The 17,761-nt window shown below is 38.8% G+C and overlaps 1 protein-coding gene across 2 annotated transcripts in view; it reads left to right on the plus strand.

Annotated features, from left to right (window-relative positions):
- PLCB1 (phospholipase C beta 1) overlaps window positions 1-17,761 on the plus strand; it is a 752,635-nt gene that overhangs the window by 612,666 nt on the left and 122,208 nt on the right. For both annotated transcript variants that reach the window (NM_182734.3, NM_015192.4), the window contains exons 24-25: window positions 12,115-12,247; window positions 15,476-15,529. In NM_182734.3, coding sequence (NP_877398.1) covers window positions 12,115-12,247; window positions 15,476-15,529 — 187 coding nt within the window. The remainder of the gene's footprint in view (window positions 1-12,114; window positions 12,248-15,475; window positions 15,530-17,761) is intronic.

The raw sequence follows: 17,761 nt of genomic DNA on the forward strand, positions 1-17,761 counted from the left end.
GTAGAGTTTTAGGTCAATCTTATTTTTGTTTTTCTTTTCTTAAAGGTGATCAGAAAGCATTTTTAGAAATGTATAATATTGTTTAAATTTGGACAGTATTTGGACATTTTTCAGTTTTAGAAAAAATTTTAGAGGCATGGAATCACATGGAGTCTATATTGGTCTAATAGAGAAAATATGATTTTTTTTCCTTTGACATGTCTAAACTCTTAACTGGCCTCATTTTTACAACTCAAGGAAAAAAAATCATTTGCCCTTAACATGTAATGCTAGGAAAGAAAAGTCATTTCACACTTTGAGCATCAGTGTGTCTTTTTTCTTGTCTTGGAATAATGTAAGTTTGTTTGAATGATGCCACTGAAAATAAGTAACTGTGGTTTTCTCTAAAGAAAATTCTATCTAGGACATGGCAGGCACTGGGACACTGTTTTAGCAGCAAAGACTTTTTTAGTATCATCATTTTAATGTGATGCTTGTAAAGGTCATTTCTATTTGAACATTAAAAATGTCATTGGACTGCAAAATATTACCAGATGTTTAATAGTCCTGTAAATTATCTTTTTAGAGTAATTTATAAACCAAATAGATAAGAAAGTGGAATTTCCCCCATGATTTGAACAATAGATATTTATTTCAGATAAGGCAAAAATACATTATTCAGATTATATTATACATATATTATGTGTATAATATATGTATAATATTTAGGTTATGTATTATCTGAATAATGGTTGGAAGTTAAGGAATAATAAAGATTCGTTATTGGATTTATTTTGTCTTTGTAAATTCAGAGTGGTAGATTAGTCAAGTTGTAGAGTAAGTGCCTAACTGAATCCTAACAAAGTATAACATTCACAGTTAATTCCTTTAAATAAAAAGTCACGTAGAAAAATATAAAAACATAGTAAACTAAAGAAATAAAATTTTAAAACCCTCTAATTCTGCAAATACTGGTAACATTTTTAATGTATATCCTTCTAGCATGTTTCCTATGTACATTTTTGTTTGTTTGTTTTTTGAGACAGAGTCTCGCTCTGTCGTCCAGGCTGGAGTGCAGTGGCATGATCTCGGCTCACTGCAGCCTCGGCCTCCCGGGTTCAAGCGATTCTCCTGCCTCAGCCACCCAAGTAGCCGGGACTACAGGCACCCACCACCATACCTGGCTAATTTTTGTCTTTTTAGTAGAGACGGGGTTTCACCATGTTGGCTAGGCTCTTCTCAAACTCCTGACCTCAGGTGATCCACCTGCCTTGGCCTTCCAAAGTGCTGGGATTACAGGTATGAGCCACTGTGTCTGGTCTCTGTGCACATTTTTTAAAATAATTTTTTAAATGTTTTACAGACCAAATAATGTAATTACAGAGATGCCTAGTGAAATATCATAACACTTTTTTTCTATTTTTAAAATACCTATAAAAGGAAAAAGTAAATATCCAATACATTTATTAGGAAATATTATGTGATAATGTCATAAATGCAATATTTGAATATGACTTTTTTAATGTTAGAGAAGTAAAGAAAAAAATAATGAGCATTTACTGAGTACTTACTGTATATCTGACACTATGTTGAGCCCTTTATTTTATTTTTCTTTTCTCAAGACAGGGTCTCAATATGTTGCCCAAGCTGGTCTTCAACTCCCAGCTCAAGCAATCCTCCCACTTCTGCCTCCCAAAGCACTGAGATTACAGGGGTGGTTCACCATGCCTGGCCATGAAGCTTTTACTGTATTCACTCACTTAAGTCTTAAAACCTCCGGATGTCCTAATTACCATTATTTCCATTTAACAAATGAAGAAACTAAGGCACTGAGGAGTTAAATTGCTTGCCCTGTGCCACACAATTAGTAAAGAAAGGAGTTAGGATGAAAACCCAGGCAATCTGGTTCTGCAACTCATGTTCCACATCAGCACTTCTGCATGTTAAGTGTGAAGACCAGGGCATCATGATAAATTGCTGATCCTGGTTCACTGGATCTGGGGTAGGGCCTGGGACTCAGCATCTCTAATAAGCCCCCAAGTGATGGGATACTGCTGGTCCTTGGAGCACAGTTTAACAAGCATCTCCACCACACACACGCACTACCTCTGTAACAAAGCTGTAATTTTCTGGTAACCTTTAGCAAGGATGGGCCCTTCATTCATCTTTCTGACCTCCATAGCAGGTTACCTGAATGAGTGAGCACAGGATATAAGACCTTTACCTTAAACAGTAACATCTTTTGATTGAATTTTTAGTTGAATGTCAAGAACTTCCCCCCTTTAATCACTGGATGTTGTCAGAACTTATTCTTCAGAAAGTTAGGTTTATCTTTGTGGGTTCTATTTGATTGATTTGTGCATTGGCTGGCCAAAATACATATCCCTCAACTTGGAAGTTACGAAAGCTGTATTCATTTGCCAAGCATTCATTTCCATACTTGGGAAAGTTGTCCTCTAAGACAGAGTACCTGAAACTACAAATCTTACCCAGCCCTCAAGGCCAAAATTGTTCACAAGAATTCCCAACATCGTCTGTTTCATCCTGCAAGTGGAAGTGTGTGAGTGGTCTTCGTGTAATATTGATGTTGAAAAGGAAAAGTTGTTTGGTAATACTAAAAGTTTATTTATTCCAAAGGGCCTACTTTTTGTATTGTCTGACTCACATGTTCTTGTGAGTGAGCTGAAATTCATCAAAAATTGTTTGCAAATATTAGCTGGGTGTGCTAACACATGCCTGTAGTCCCAGCTTCTCGGGAGCCTGAGGCAGGAGAATCGCCTGAGTCTAGAAGGCAGAGGCTGCAATGAACTGTGAATGCACTACTGCACCCTAGCCTGGGCAACAGAGACCATGTCTCTTAAAAATAAATAAAATAAAATAAAATAATTGGTAAATATTTCCTAATTCAGTGTATGGCCCCAATTTGATTATTTTAATAATGATATGAATTCCACCAATAAAATAATGTGACATCAAAAAAATCCAAGGTAGTGCTTTTATAAGGTTACAATGTTTTGCCCAAGGCCTTGGATACCATTTAATTATTCAAAACAGAAACTTGATATTTCATTCACAATATAAGAACTTGACACTAAAATCAAAGATGAGGTTTACAGCTTATTTTGGATTCTCTTTAAATAAAATTCTTCCTCCTTCAAATCTTCCTCCTCAAATAATAAATTTGCAAGATATTAATTTATAGAAACAATAGTTTATCAAAATCCCTGAACTTTAAAGCATCCAATACAGTAAAAAGAAAAGGTTTTCCTTTAAATAGTGATGCTATCTCTTTCATTTCTATACTGTACAGATTTGGCATTCACAATGCACTTTCATTGGATGCCTTGGATAAAACTGGGTCCTAACTAGGAAAACCATAGTAATCCCCATTTTTAGAGAAGGGAACAATTGCTCATTATGGTAGAGTGATTTGGTGCCTAATATCAACGGCCAATGAGTTGAAGAACTAGGGTCTTTTTAAATATGTATCAAGAAAAGACCATTCATTCACTTGAATTGAAACTGGTCAATGATTGGTTCAATTCAGCTGCTTTTACGAATATCCTCCATAAAAATTTCTAAAATTTCAATGGATTCTAATGAGGGGCTTTGGGTTCATCTGCCTAAAATAGGGATGAGTACAATAACTTCAATATCCATGTCATGTCCAATTATAAAATCATGGCTCCCAATTAATGATGAAGTTTTTCACTTTGCTTTAGAGCAGGGCTTCTCAAGTTTTAATGTGCATACAGGTGCAGGAAATGGGGAGGTGTGGGTCAAATGATACAAAGCAGGAAATGTGTAGGATGAACAAGTAAAAAAATCTAATGTACAGCGTGAGGACTATAATTAACAATCATGTATCATAGTCAGAATTTTTTCTAAATGAGTAGATTATAGCTGTTCTTGCCACAGGGGGACAAAGCGGGTAACTATGTGAGATGATGGATATGTCTATTTGTTCCCTTATAGTAACCATTTTACTGTACATAGGTATCTTATAACATCATGTTGTATGCCTTGAATTTACACAATAAAATTTATTTTTTTCAACGTGCATACAGATCACTTGAGAATCTTGTTACAATGCAGATTCAGATTCAGTAGGTCTGGCACAGATCACAAAACACCGCATATTCAACAAGCTTCCAGGTGATGCTTATGGCCCATGGACCATATTTGGATTAGCAGGGCTCTCAAACTTTAGCATGTACCAGAATCACCCAGATGGCTTCCTAAAACACAGATCGATGGGTGTCGTAGCCAAAGTTTCTGATTCAGTAGGTCTGGGGCGGACTCAAGAATTTGCATCTCTAACAATCTGCAGTGAAGCTGATGCTGGTCTGGGGACCACACATTAAAAACCGCTGCTTTGAAGCCCTGCATCTTTCTTTCGCAAGAGTGTGGCTCTCCCCAGATGAAACCCATTAATTCCATCCACTCTAAAATGACAGCTTAATCACAGAAACCTGGGAAGGGCTCCAGGAGACACTTTTCCTGGGAATTATCCAGAATTTGTCCCGCAAGTGATTGACCATAGTCCGTACCAAACGATTTGACTTAATTAATCTCAAAGATATATTTCCACAAAATTAACATTAAGAGTTGTTGGTCTACTTTCCTTTAAAAAGAGAAATCCATGATTTCTACCTAGCAGCCAAGAGTTCATTCCTTCTGAATTCTTTGTAAACTGTATCAAAACACTTCTAATAAATTCAAGTTGGTAGGAACTTTTTTATATACATATATTAAAGTTTGTATATGTAACACATATAAAAGGGTCAGCAGAGCTATGTTCTTTTACCCTTTGATAGCCTGCTGAGTAACCTGCTGTTATTATGCATTAAATACAAACTTGTTACAGACAGCAGAAAGCAGCATCTTCACTCTTTTCATTCATTGATTTATTCATTCATTCAAATTTGTTTTATTTTAGCATAACATTTAGGTAGTTCTTTACTTTCAGGACTTTGCCATTAATAATAGAGCTATTTATTATGTACTAACAGGAAACTAAATATGAATTATGCATTCATTCAATATTTTTTTTTTAAAAAAACCCAACTATGTGTCAGTCACTCTGATGGCCATTATATATGTAATGCTGAGGAAAATCAGATGCTCTCATAGCCCTTACAACTTGGAGGAAGAGAGTGACATTATAAAATTTATACATCTATGTGTAAAATTGCAGCTGCTACTAATGTTCAACAAAATGATACCATGTGAATGCTGTTGACTCATGTGAGTGCTTATATGATGACACACAGCCATGCTGTGTCAAGATTCACTTGAACCCATGCTCCAGTTACCGCTGGAAGAACTTGCTGGACATTAACTGTGCAAAACACCAAAAGTACTTTACTTGGTGTTAATGAAGAAGCTCAAAAAACTGAAGTCAACAGATGAATTTATCCAGCTCATTAAAGCTGTCTCTTGCTTCTAACTCACCCTGGTAGACTCTTCAAAATTAGGAGTTTTGACATATTTCATTATGAAAAATTCTAAGCTAACATTGAAAGAGCTGTACAAGGAACACCTATATATCAGCCACCCGGATTCCATAATTAAAATTTTGATGCTTTCACTTGATCACATATAAATCCCTCTATCCATTTATCTATCCATCTTGGTTCAATAGGATGCATTTTAAAGTAGGTTGCAAACATCAGTATACTTCACTCCTAAACGTTTGGGAGTGCATACAGCAGGACAAAGTTTGTTAAAGTGATTCTGAATTTCTTAGAAATATGAGGCAGATACATTATCTAATTTCATTCAACTAATAGAAATTTAAGGTACAAATTGTGCTCATGTTTGAAGAAGCTCCTCCTTAAGGGAAAGGCTGGCTCTAACAAAGCTACTTTCTGACAATATTTGTCCTGAGTAGGGTGGATTTCTGCATGATGAAATTATGAGACTCACCCGTAATACGCTGGAAAAACTGATGGCCTTACCTCTTACCCATGTGGTGCCCATCCAAAGCAAGATGCTGTCATAAGGTAAAAAGAACTGCACTCTTTTTTTTTTTTTTTTTTTTGAGACGGAGTCTTGCTCAGTTGCCCAGGCTGGAGTGCAGAGGCGCGATCTCGGCTCACTGCAAGCTCCGCCTCCCGGGTTCACGCCATTCTCCTGGGTCAGCCTCCTGAGTAGCTGGGACTACAGGCGCCCACCACCAAGCCCGGCTAATTTTTTTTTTTTTTTGTAGTTTTAGTAGAGACGGGATTTCACCATGTTAGCCAGGATGGTCTCGATCTCCTGACCTCGGGATCCACCCGCCTCGGCCTCCCAAAGTGCTGGGATTACAGGCATGAGCCACCGCGCCCGGCCGGAACTGCACTCTTCAGATGACTCAGACAAGGAAAGCATGATCCAACACCTCTAATAGCCCAGTAATACATATGATATTTGAAAGGCCCTTCACTTACCATGTTAACCATTCAGTTAAATCCTCCAAATCCTAATTCTCTGCTGCTCAACCATCAGATCCAAACTTTCAATGCCCAGGACGGAAATCTTTTCAACCAGCACATCAAATGGCTTTTCCTCCTTCTATAGAACTTATAAAAATGATCTTTTCAGTTACCATTTTACTGGTCCATCTGTATTCTATTTTCAGTGCACTTCTGTTCATTTTGGAATTAGGAAGCGTACAAATTCTTTTTATATTTAATTTTAACATTCAAGTTAGGCATATTTTGAAGAAAAAGATATTGCAATGATTGCATTTGTCCACTAGAGGGCAGGAACTTACTTCTGTGGTTCATTCTGCACTTTTTTTTTCACTACCCACCTAAGAAAAATCTAGTCAATGCGACTGAAGTACTACCACCTTCTGAATCTTCTTTCCTTGATAATTGCTTAATTGGAATTTAAATCTTTGAATCAAATTAAGAAACTAGACATTCCTAGTTTCTGTTTCTATCACAATTTCCAGTACCAGATTTTTATTCACTCATAAAAACAAATAATGGGGGAGAAATAAAATATTGACTTCTGCTGATTCTCTTGAGTGGGATAAGGAATTTGGTTTTTGCACTTTGGCTTACAGATCCATATAGTGGAATTATTCGATCTTTCAATTATAATATCAGAAAGTTCAATTTTAGTATTGTACTCCTATAGGTGCTTTTTTTCATTTTTCAGCCATTGTTTTGCTTAACTTATTTAACTTTGTATGTACGGATGCCTTTTTAGTGCAACAGGGTAGTTCTTTGAGAATTATGTTTACATGTAGACATCTCTATCTCAGCAGCAAGTTAAGTTATTATTACGGTTCCTTAAGCTGCTGTTATCATAGAGTGGACTGCTGTAATAGAAAAATTTAGTCTTTAGCATATAGTCCATATTCAAATACTTGTTCACAGTTTCCTGTGTGACCTCTGGCAAGTTACATGACTTTTAATAAAGTTTTTAGTAAAGACTTTTAATAACACCTCCGATTATTTTGCTTTATTATGGTACTGTGCGTGTTGCCTACACTGACTGGCTGTGAAAAAGCTGTTGTATATAACAGTGTCTAACCCAGGATGATCTACAGCCACTTCTAATTGCAGTCTCCATTCGGTAAATGGAATCAATTAAAATGTGTACCTATGGGCTGGGCAGGGTGGCTCATGCCTGTAATCCAGCACTTTGGGAGACCGAGGCAGGTGGATCACTTGAGGTCAGGAGTTCGAGACCAGCCTGGCTAACATGGTGAAACCCCGTCTCTACTAAAAATACAAAAATTAGCTGGGCATGGTGGTGCATGCCTGTAATTCCAGCTACTCGGGAGGCTGAGGCAGGAGAATCGCTTGAACCCAGGAGGTGGAGGTTGCAATGAGCCAAAATTGCACTACTGCACTCCAGCCTGGGTGACAGAGTGAGACTCCATCTCAAAAAAAAAAAAAAAAGTGTCTACAGCCCTTAGCAAAAAAGTTTAAACATTAGTCACATGTATATGTTATAGAATCTTACTTAACTCAGGCATCCCAACCAGTACTGGTCTGTAGCTTATTAGGACCTGGCCCGCACAGCAGGAAGTAAGCAGCAGGTGGGCAAGCAAGCAAAGCTTCATCCCCATCACTCAAATTACTCCCTGAGCTCTGCCTCCTGTTAGATCAGTAGTGGCATTAGATTCCCATAGGACTGTGAACCCTATTGTGAACTGCACATGTGAAAAATCTAGGTTGTGGGCTCCTTATGAAAATCTAATGCATGATGACCTGTTACTGTTTCCCATCACCCCCAAATGGGACCATCTAGTTGCAAGAAAACAAGCTCAGGGCTCTCACTGATTCTACATTATGGTGAGTTGTATAATTATTTCATTATATAGTACAATGTAACAATAATAATAGAAATAAAGTGCACAATACATGTAATGCACTTGAGTCATACTGAAACCATCCCCTCAATAACCTCCTCTCCCCCTGGTCCATGAAAAAATTATCTTCCATGAAACTGGTCCTTGGTGCCAGAAAGGCTGGGGACCACTGACTTAACTTGTATATAACATCTGTCTCCAGAAAATCATGAGGTCCCTGACAAGAGTCAGACTATGCAAGGATCTCCAAATTCCTTAGCCCAGTGTTTAATGTCCTCATTACTGACCCTCTTCTCTATGCCTTTGCTTGGCCACTGGGGCGAGAAGGTAAGAAGCTCCTGGCCCACCGAGTTCCCAGCACAGTCCTGTCACTTCAGCATTACTAAGGATGCATAGCTCACTCTTGCACCATCTCAGAATTCCAGGCAAACTCTGCTCCTCCTGGCAGAGGGTACAGATTGGCAACTTCTGGGCCAAATGCAGTCTGAAGATGTGCTCTGTTTGTCTTTTCAGTGATTGGAAACTGGGAGAGTTCACTCAAAACTTTCATTTTTCCATTTTTCTCAAAACCTGGGTGGAAATAGGCTAAAAATGAACAGCAGCCACTGCCCCATTTACAGGCTGTCTCTCTCCTGCTCTGGACATGACCTCACTTTGCCCTATTGCATTAAATCTACTTCACTGGTTTCTATCATTTCCACTAACTGCCTATTACTCTACAGTGTGAATAGTATCCTTAGGGGTTGTGTCCCAAGAGTGACACAGTCCACTCTACATGGAGACATCACCAGGTGTGACCCCTGGACTAAGCATTTCTCTAAAGCCTACTTCAAAGTCCAGCACCAACCCTTGGTGCCCACTTTATCCCCGACTGCAACCATAAAGTATTTGCCTGAATGTTTACTTAACATCTATCTGCTTTTTAAAAATGTCTTTGATTTTATATAGTACGTCCCTTTTTGGAAGGTGGAGGCTTTGTCTCACATGCCCTTGATAAGCAGAGATTTATTTTTTCCTTTATTTGACTCAAATTGACAATCGAACTTGGTTTCCCAAGGGCATACAGCTACATGGAGTATCTGAAAACCTAATGCAAATCTAAAAATAAACTTGTTGGATCCAGTTTGAATGCACCTCCAGTCTAACACCTCAAGACACTAATTTTAGTTGCCAAAAAAAAAAAAAAAGCCACCATTATTACTTTCACAGAAGCTGGTTTTCCCTAACTTCCATTCTTTCCTCCATCAAAATTTTCTTTTTCTCTATCCTTTTTCAGAGGGCTAATTTTAGTGAGCTGTCACATTGGGAAGAATCTGGTTCATTCCCCACATGGTTTTAGAAACCAACTTGGATATAATGGGGAAGGTCAGATCCCCACGGAATAGGGACATCTTCCTACCTGCTTTCTAAAGCAGCTGAGTTTGGTAACCATGGGCACCCTCTTCAGCTGGGAGGCCAGCAAAGCGTTACCCCTGCTGTATTTAAGCCAAAGAACCACCCACTGTGGGTGTATAGGTCCCATGTAGTCAAATCTAGTTTTTCAAGGGAAGTAAGAAACCCATTGTTTCAGTATAAGATCACCTTAATTAAAAGATTTGACAACACTGGTTGAGCCAAAGAAAATGCATCCATGTACTCCATTGGGACCATGACTTTCCAGTTTGCAATGTCTTGCTGAACAACACATACACAATCCTTTCCCTTTGCATATAATTCTAGGGAGAATTTTTCTGATGGATGTAACTAAATAGTGTGACCATACTGGCACTTACCCATCAGAAGTAGTCATTTTTCAAAAGAAAGATTCTGCCATAGTGAGCTATACAGGCTGCCCCGGTTACTTGTTTAGTCTCCTGTCTCCCCTAACTGATGTCCAGCCACTGCTACTAAGGGCTCTTCCAGCATTGAGTAGGGTGTAGTAAACAAGCAGGGATGATTTGTTGAATTAAAATAAGTTCTGCCATCACTTAATGCAGTTTTGGAAGATGGTTTAAAGATGATTTGGGAAACAGATTAAAAGCCACTGGTGACAATCAGTGTCACTATTTTCACTCTTATCTTACTTTTTATAAGAAAGTTATTATAGGTCAATTTTTCATCTGTAATCACATGCCAAAATGTCACAATGTTAGGCTCCAAAAGACTTCTGGAAAAATATATTTCCTAATGTATTTTTAAAATGTGCTACAAAGTAGAACATTGGGATAGCCTCATTGTCAGTAAAACCTGCCAGGGACTTGGAAGGCAATTCTGATAAAGAGTTACAGAGAATTTAGCATATTGAAAAGCAACATTAAAAGAGTATGTAGGCAATTATTTTATAAGGATCAGCATTTATTCAACAAACATTTTTAAACTGTTTACTGTGTATAAGGTATGTGGAATTAGCTGCTGGAGGGTGTCGAATGAAGATTTTACGTTTCAATGCATTTATTATTATTATTCATTGGTAGTATTCCACAAGCTTAAAGGTTTTATTTGTTTTATGTCAACATAAATAACAAACAGATGCTCTCTAAAAGAAAATGGTATTATTTAAGAATAGGGCATACTAAATTATGTGCTTAGTCAGGGAGGGAAGGAAGACAAAGGTTTGTAAAGGATAAATGAGGAGGGTTACATAATTGTTTTCAGATGATTAGCCTTGGCTACAAGGATCAATAACAAGAGTGACCTCAGTCTGACGTTGGACAGGGAGTTGCTAGGCAGGTGTCCTCACAGAAGTATTTTTTGTGTAAAGTTGCTATGGCCTTTGTACAAGGTGATGGCTTTTGCAGAGTCTTTTGTGAGAGTTTTTCTTATCAGGCATTTATGAGTGAGAACCTTCTCTTTATGACATTCCCTGGCTCTTTTTGTCAGGGTTTTTTGGGTTTTTGTGGGTGTTGTTGTTGTTTTAATATAAGGGACTCCATTTAGATTCTGACAACTTTCACATTATTTAACATCCACATATTTACTCTGTGCCAGAAACAATTCTAAGTACTTTATAAGTATTAACTTATTTAATCATCTAAACAATCTAACAAGATAATATTATGATCCCCAGTAAACACCTGTCTTCATCTATAAGGATAAAGAAATTGAAGCACAGAGAGTTAAGTGAACTGCCCAAAATCACACTGCTGGTAAATTGCAGGGCCAGAATCTGAACCCAGGCAAGCTGTGCTCCAAAATGTGTGTTCTTATCCATCACATCGATTAGCTCATTCTGTAAAACAACCCCAAACTTGGCAGCTTATAACATCAACTAGTTATTATTTTTCATGCATTATCTGGTCAGCTGGGCAGGTCTGCAGATCCAGACCAGACTCATAGACTCAGCTCATCTCAGCCGGGTTCACTCAAGTGTATGTGCTCAGCTGGGGACTGGCTGGTCCAGGACATCCTTGACCAGGATGACTCAGCTCTCTTCCAGAAGAGCTGGATGACAGACCAGGATGACTCAGACCTCTCATCCTCCATTGCTATAATAGGACCCTGAGAAACAGTGGAAAAATTTGCAAGGGTCTTTTGTATCAAGTTTGCTATTCTCTGATTAACCAAAGCAAATCACATGGTCTGGTCCAGAGTCAGTGTGGAAGGGCACCACCAACGGGCATAGACATAGGTTGGTGTAAAAATTGGAGACTTTAATACAATTAACCTCCCATAGTCATGGCTCAACACTATGCTGTTTTAACCCTGCTTTCCAGGGAGTATCAAATTTGATATTTCCAACTCCAAAAGAATTGTGAAGATGCTATAAAATGTAGCCTTGTTGGTTTAGGAAGGCAAGAAAAGAATAAAAAGAAATGTGGAAAATGAAAGGATATTTATAATTTTAGGCTGATCCTGGAGAAACACCATCAGAGGCTCCAAGTGAAGCGAGAACGACTCCAGCAGAAAATGGGGTGAATCACACTACAACCCTGACACCCAAGCCACCCTCCCAGGCTCTCCACAGCCAGCCAGCTCCAGGTAAGCCATCTGGAAAGAGCTGGACAACATGAGCAAGATCCTCCAGTTCATTAGTGCCACTGACGGAGGCGCTGTGATGTGGGTAGCTAAAGCATCAAGTGGGGAAAGATGTGTGGACTTAGGAGGAGCTCCGTCAATGTGCAATTAATGAATGAAAGCCAGAAGAGAGTCATATGTGCTCATCTGGCTCTACAGATAACTTATGAAACCACAACAAAAAAAATCACCCAGATTTCCGGTGTCCTTTTTCAGTGATGAGTTATGACCCATCTGCTGGCACAGTTTGAGAAGAATTCTCCAAGCAGCTTATAAACAACCATGCCTTAGAAGTGCATTCTTAGTCTTGCTTCATTAATTCTGTGCCAAGGGCTCCTTTCCCTCTTTCTCCAACTTTCTTTTCAACATCTTTGAGTGTCTGCCCTGTGCTGGACACATTGCTAAGCTTTTCATATGGATCATTTCAATTCCCCCCATACCAGGCCCAAGAGTAGATTCTATTATTGTCCCCATTGTGCAGATGAATAAGCTGCCATTTTCAGGTGATAAAGTACTTATTGAAGGCCACAGTGCCAGGGAAGAGTGACCTTAGGCCTGATGCAGTTCCCAATGATACTAACATTCTTGCTTTTAGCTCCTATATTACAGCCAAAGCCACACTCTTGTCTCATTTCTCAAAATGAATAAATGAATAAATAAATAAATAAATAAATAAATAAAATAAAAATCCTTTGATTTCTACGCAGCTAACTTTGACATTTAATCTTATGCAGCTTTGTGTAACTATTCCTTGTGTGTATGTCCTGTTTACCCCAGTAGATGGGAGGCTTCCTAGGTAGACTTCAATTTGATGCCTCCTCTGTACATCACACAGTGCTGGGGAATAGCATGTACCTGATAATTTCTTGTTGAATTGGTTAATAAAGTAAACAAAAGGGAGCAGAATTTCCTTCCATGAAGGTGTGGAAAGGAGCTCCTTTCTTTGTCATACTAGATCAGGGTGCCAGTAGATCCAGATCTTTTAAGGGTATTTCTCATGGGAGAGAAAGAGAATTAAAAAAAAAAAAACCAATTATATTTAATTTGTATCAGACACGCTTGAACTGCTTTTTAAAAGGTTGCTGGCCAGGCATGGTGGCTCATGCCCGTAATCCCAGTACTTTGGAAGGTTGAGGCAGGTGGATCACTTGAGGTCAGCAGTTCAGGACCAACCTGGCCAACATGGTGAAACCCCCATCGCTACTAAAAATACATAAGTTAGCCTGGCATGGTAGTGCATGCCTGTAGTTCCAGCAACTCAGGAGGCTGAGGCAGGAGAATTGCTTGAACCCAGGAGGCGGAGGTGCAGTAAGCTGAGATCGCACCACTGCACTCCAGCCTGAGTGACAGAGCGAGGCTCCATCTCAAAAAGAAAAAAAAAAAGTTGCCAAAGTCAATAATAGTAAGAAGATGACGTTATAAACAAGAAGTAAATTTTCAAATAAAGAGTTTTATATACCAAATACAAACATCTTGAATGCTTCTGAAATATAAATCCATCATTTAAATGTGTGAGTAAATAGTCATGTGTTCCTGAAAGTAAAAGAGAATTTAGCATTTTCACATTTAATTTTTTTAACTTGATATTTTGGAATAATTGAACTTACAGAAAATATTTTTTAAATGGCACAGAATACATTGCAAAAATAACCTCTTCTTCCCCTAAAGTTAACATCTCACGGGATCATGGGGCAATCATCAAAACCAGGAAAGTAACATTGGCATGATACTCTGACCTAAACTGCACAATTTATTTGGACTAACCTGCTTTCTACAGTAATGTCCTTTTACTGTTCAAGATTCCAACGCAGGATCCCAAATTGTATTTTATTGTCATGATTCTTTAGTCTCCTTTAATCTATGGCAGTCCCACAGTCTTTCCTGTCTTTCATAACCTTGGTACTTTGGAAGAACTCTGGTCAGTTATTTTGTTGAACATCCCTCAGTCTGGGTTGGTCCGATGTTTCCCCATGATTAGGTTGAGGGCATGCATTTTGACAAGAGCACCATGCAAGTGATACTCGCCTTTCTCAGTGCATCACATCACGGATATATGATGTTGCTGGGTCTCATCACTGATGATATGGGATCACTTGGTTAAGGTGGTTTCTCCACTGAAAGTTATTATTTTCCCCTCTTAGATATATTGGGAGAGCTACTTTGAGACTATGCAAATATCCTGTTCTTCCTTAAACTTTTGCTTACTGATTTTTAACATTCACCAATGGATCTTTCCTGTAACAGTTATTACTGCCTAGTGGTCAACATTTGACTTTTATTTTTATTTTACTTTATTTTATTTTGAGACAGAGTTTGGCTCTTGTTGCCCAGGCTGGAGTGCAATGGTGTGATCTCAGCTCACTGCAACCTCTGCCTCCTGGGTTCAAGCGATTCTCCTGCCTCAGCCTCCCAAGTAGCTGGGATTACAGGCGTGCACCATCACACCCGGCTAATTTTATATTTTTAGTAGAGACGGGGTTTCGCCATGTTGGTCAGGCTGGTGTCGAGCTCCTGACCTCAGCTGATCCATCTACCTTGGCCTCCCAGCGTTTGACTTTTAAAAGGTCACTTGTCATTCCTGATTTAGCCAGAAGATGGCGATAGCATTGCCTAAACTGAATTTGTTCCAAGTGGATGTCTTTTCTCTTTTCTCTCGTTATAAATGGGGCATATAATATCACATTTTTTTTTTTTTTTTTTTTTTGGAGACAGACTTTCACTCAATCTGTCACATAGGGTGGAGTGCAGTGGCATGATCTCAGTCCACTGCAAACTCCACCTCCTGGCTTCAAGTGATTCTTCTGCTTCAGCCAACCAGGTAGCTGGGATTACAAGTACCCGCCACCATGCTCCGCTAATTTTTGTATTTTTAGTAGAGACAGGGTTTCACCATATTGCCAGGCTGGTCTTGAACTCCTGACCTCAAGTGATCCGCCTGCCTCGGCCTCCCAAAGTGCCGGGATTACAGGAATGAGCCACTGCACCTGGCCTAATGTTACATTTAATTAGGTTTGTCTCAAAGCTGCAAATGAAGACTTTTTAAGAATAATTTTTATAAAGAATTTTCTCACACAATTTGTCATTTCTCTGAAAAGAGATTTAGATTCAAGGCCCAAATATGTTTGTTTGTTTACAGGAAGAATAAAATTTAAAAAGTTGAAGAGGCTATTTATTTTATCTTTTATATTACAGGTTCTGTAAAGGCACCTGCCAAAACAGAAGATCTTATTCAGAGTGTCTTAACAGGTAAATGCCACCCTTTCCCCCCATGGAATTAAGCAGCTCAGTGTTACACAGTGGAAGTATTTAGAGGAGAGGAAATTTCCATTCATATCTGAAAAACAACATCATTAATATTTCTTCTTCTAAAAAATCTAGAGACATACACTTTTAGTTTAGTCTACATGATATGATATAATCACAGAGAAGTAACCATACTTTGTAGCTAGAACCCTACTGGCATAAAAATAATGTAGTTTCACAAGATAGCTATTTCAGCATCAAAGAATAGTTTCATGCTGGAAATGTAACCCAGTGAACAAGAATGCCTGTCTTCCCAAATTGCCAATAATAAACTATATTTTAGATATGCAGAATATGATCCATTTGTGAGCATAAAATGCACAGTGTTTAAGAACTGTGATACAGTTTGGAGTTATTTTATATTTGGTTAGTCACATAAACTAGTGGAACTAAAATTGGTACAAGCTTTGTGCAGTACAATTAGCAGTATGTAGTGGAATCTTAAAAATGTTTATAATACTTGGTTCAATATACAACAGAAATGTACACACACGTTCACCAAAAGCAGCACCACTGGTAAGGGCCAAATCTAGAAACAACCCAATGTCCATCAGCTGTAAGGTAGGTAAATAAATTGTGATAAATTCCTAGCATGGAACAGGAGGCAACTGCAGGAATAAATAAACTCAAGTCACACACAACATGGATAAAACTCAAGCATAATGTTGAGGAAAAAAGTCAGACACAAAAGAACATATTCTGTAGGATTCCATATACACCAACTTCAAAGACAAAACTAATCTGTGCTGTAGAAACCTGGATTTGGATTATACTTGGTGGGAGACAGGAACCAAAAAGGAAGGCTTCTGGGATGCTGGCCAAATTCTAACTTTGACCTAAGTGATGGATATTGAAGCACATTGACTTTGGGAAAATTTACAAGGCTATACTTTTATGATTTATGCACTTTGATGCGTATATTTGCATTTCATCAAGAAATGCATAAAATATGCGTAGAAAAATTACTTGAGGAAAGTATTAAAAGAAAACAAAACATGGTTTGGTTTTGTTTTGTTTTTGAGACAAAGTCTCACTCTGCCACCCAGGCTGGAACACAGTGGTACAATCTCGGCTGACCGCAACCTCCACCTCCCGGGTTCAAGCAATTCTCCTGCCTCAGCCTCCCAAATAGCTAGGATTACAAGCACGTGCCACCACACCCGGCTAATTTTGTATTTTTAGTAGAGACGGTGATTCTCCACGTTGGCCAGGCTGGTCTCGAACTCCTGACCTCAGGTGATCCACCCGCTATTTTTAGTAGAGACGGTGATTCGCCACGTTGGCCAGGCTGGTCTCGAACTCCTGACCTCAGGTGATCCACCCGCCTCGGCCTCCCAAAGTTTTGGGATTACAGGCGTGAGCCACTGTGCCCCTCCCAACAAAACATGTTTTTAAAAGATTTAGTTCTAGGCTGGGTGTGGTGGCTCACGCCTGTAATCCCAGTACCTGGGGAGGCCAAGGGGGGGGCGGATCACCTGAGGTCGGGAGTTCGAGACCAGCCTGACCAACATGGAGAAACCCCATCTCTACTAAATATTACAAAATTAACCGCTGTGGTGGCGCGCACCTATAATCCCAGCTACTCAGGAAGCTGAGGCAGGAAATTCGCTTGAACCCAGGAGGCGGAGGTTGCCGTGAGCCAAGGTTGCGCCATTGCACTCCAGCCTGGGCAACAAGCGCGAAACTCTGTCTCAAAAAAAGAAAGATTTAGTTTCATGGGAAACAACACCATATTAATGCATACAACAAGAGACAGCAGTGTTCCTAGAATGTTGTTTAAAATAACGTAAATGAATGGACAAAAGGCAATGGTCTGTACCAATACATTAGCTGTGATTATATCTTGGTGGCTTATTTATAAATGATATTTGTGTCTTTATATAAGTGAGCATTACCTTTATACTTAAGAGCATAGTCTAAGGAACAGCCTCTCTCATCTACAGACTTTTTAAAAATAATAGTTTATGTGGATTTATTTCTAATCGTAGGTTAGAACATCTAGAGCCTTATTTCCAAACTGCCTATAGCTGATATGCTGTAAACCACTTTTAAAGAAATAGAATTGCATCTGCCTCCAAGAATGCAGCAATTCCTTGGGATTATAAATTCTTAATGTAATAATTTATTATGCAACCATAATGAGTCAATTTGGGCCTGAAGGAAACCATTAAATAA

This window comes from Homo sapiens, chromosome 20, assembly GCF_000001405.40.
Source record: "Homo sapiens chromosome 20, GRCh38.p14 Primary Assembly".
Lineage (NCBI taxonomy): Eukaryota > Metazoa > Chordata > Mammalia > Primates > Hominidae > Homo > Homo sapiens.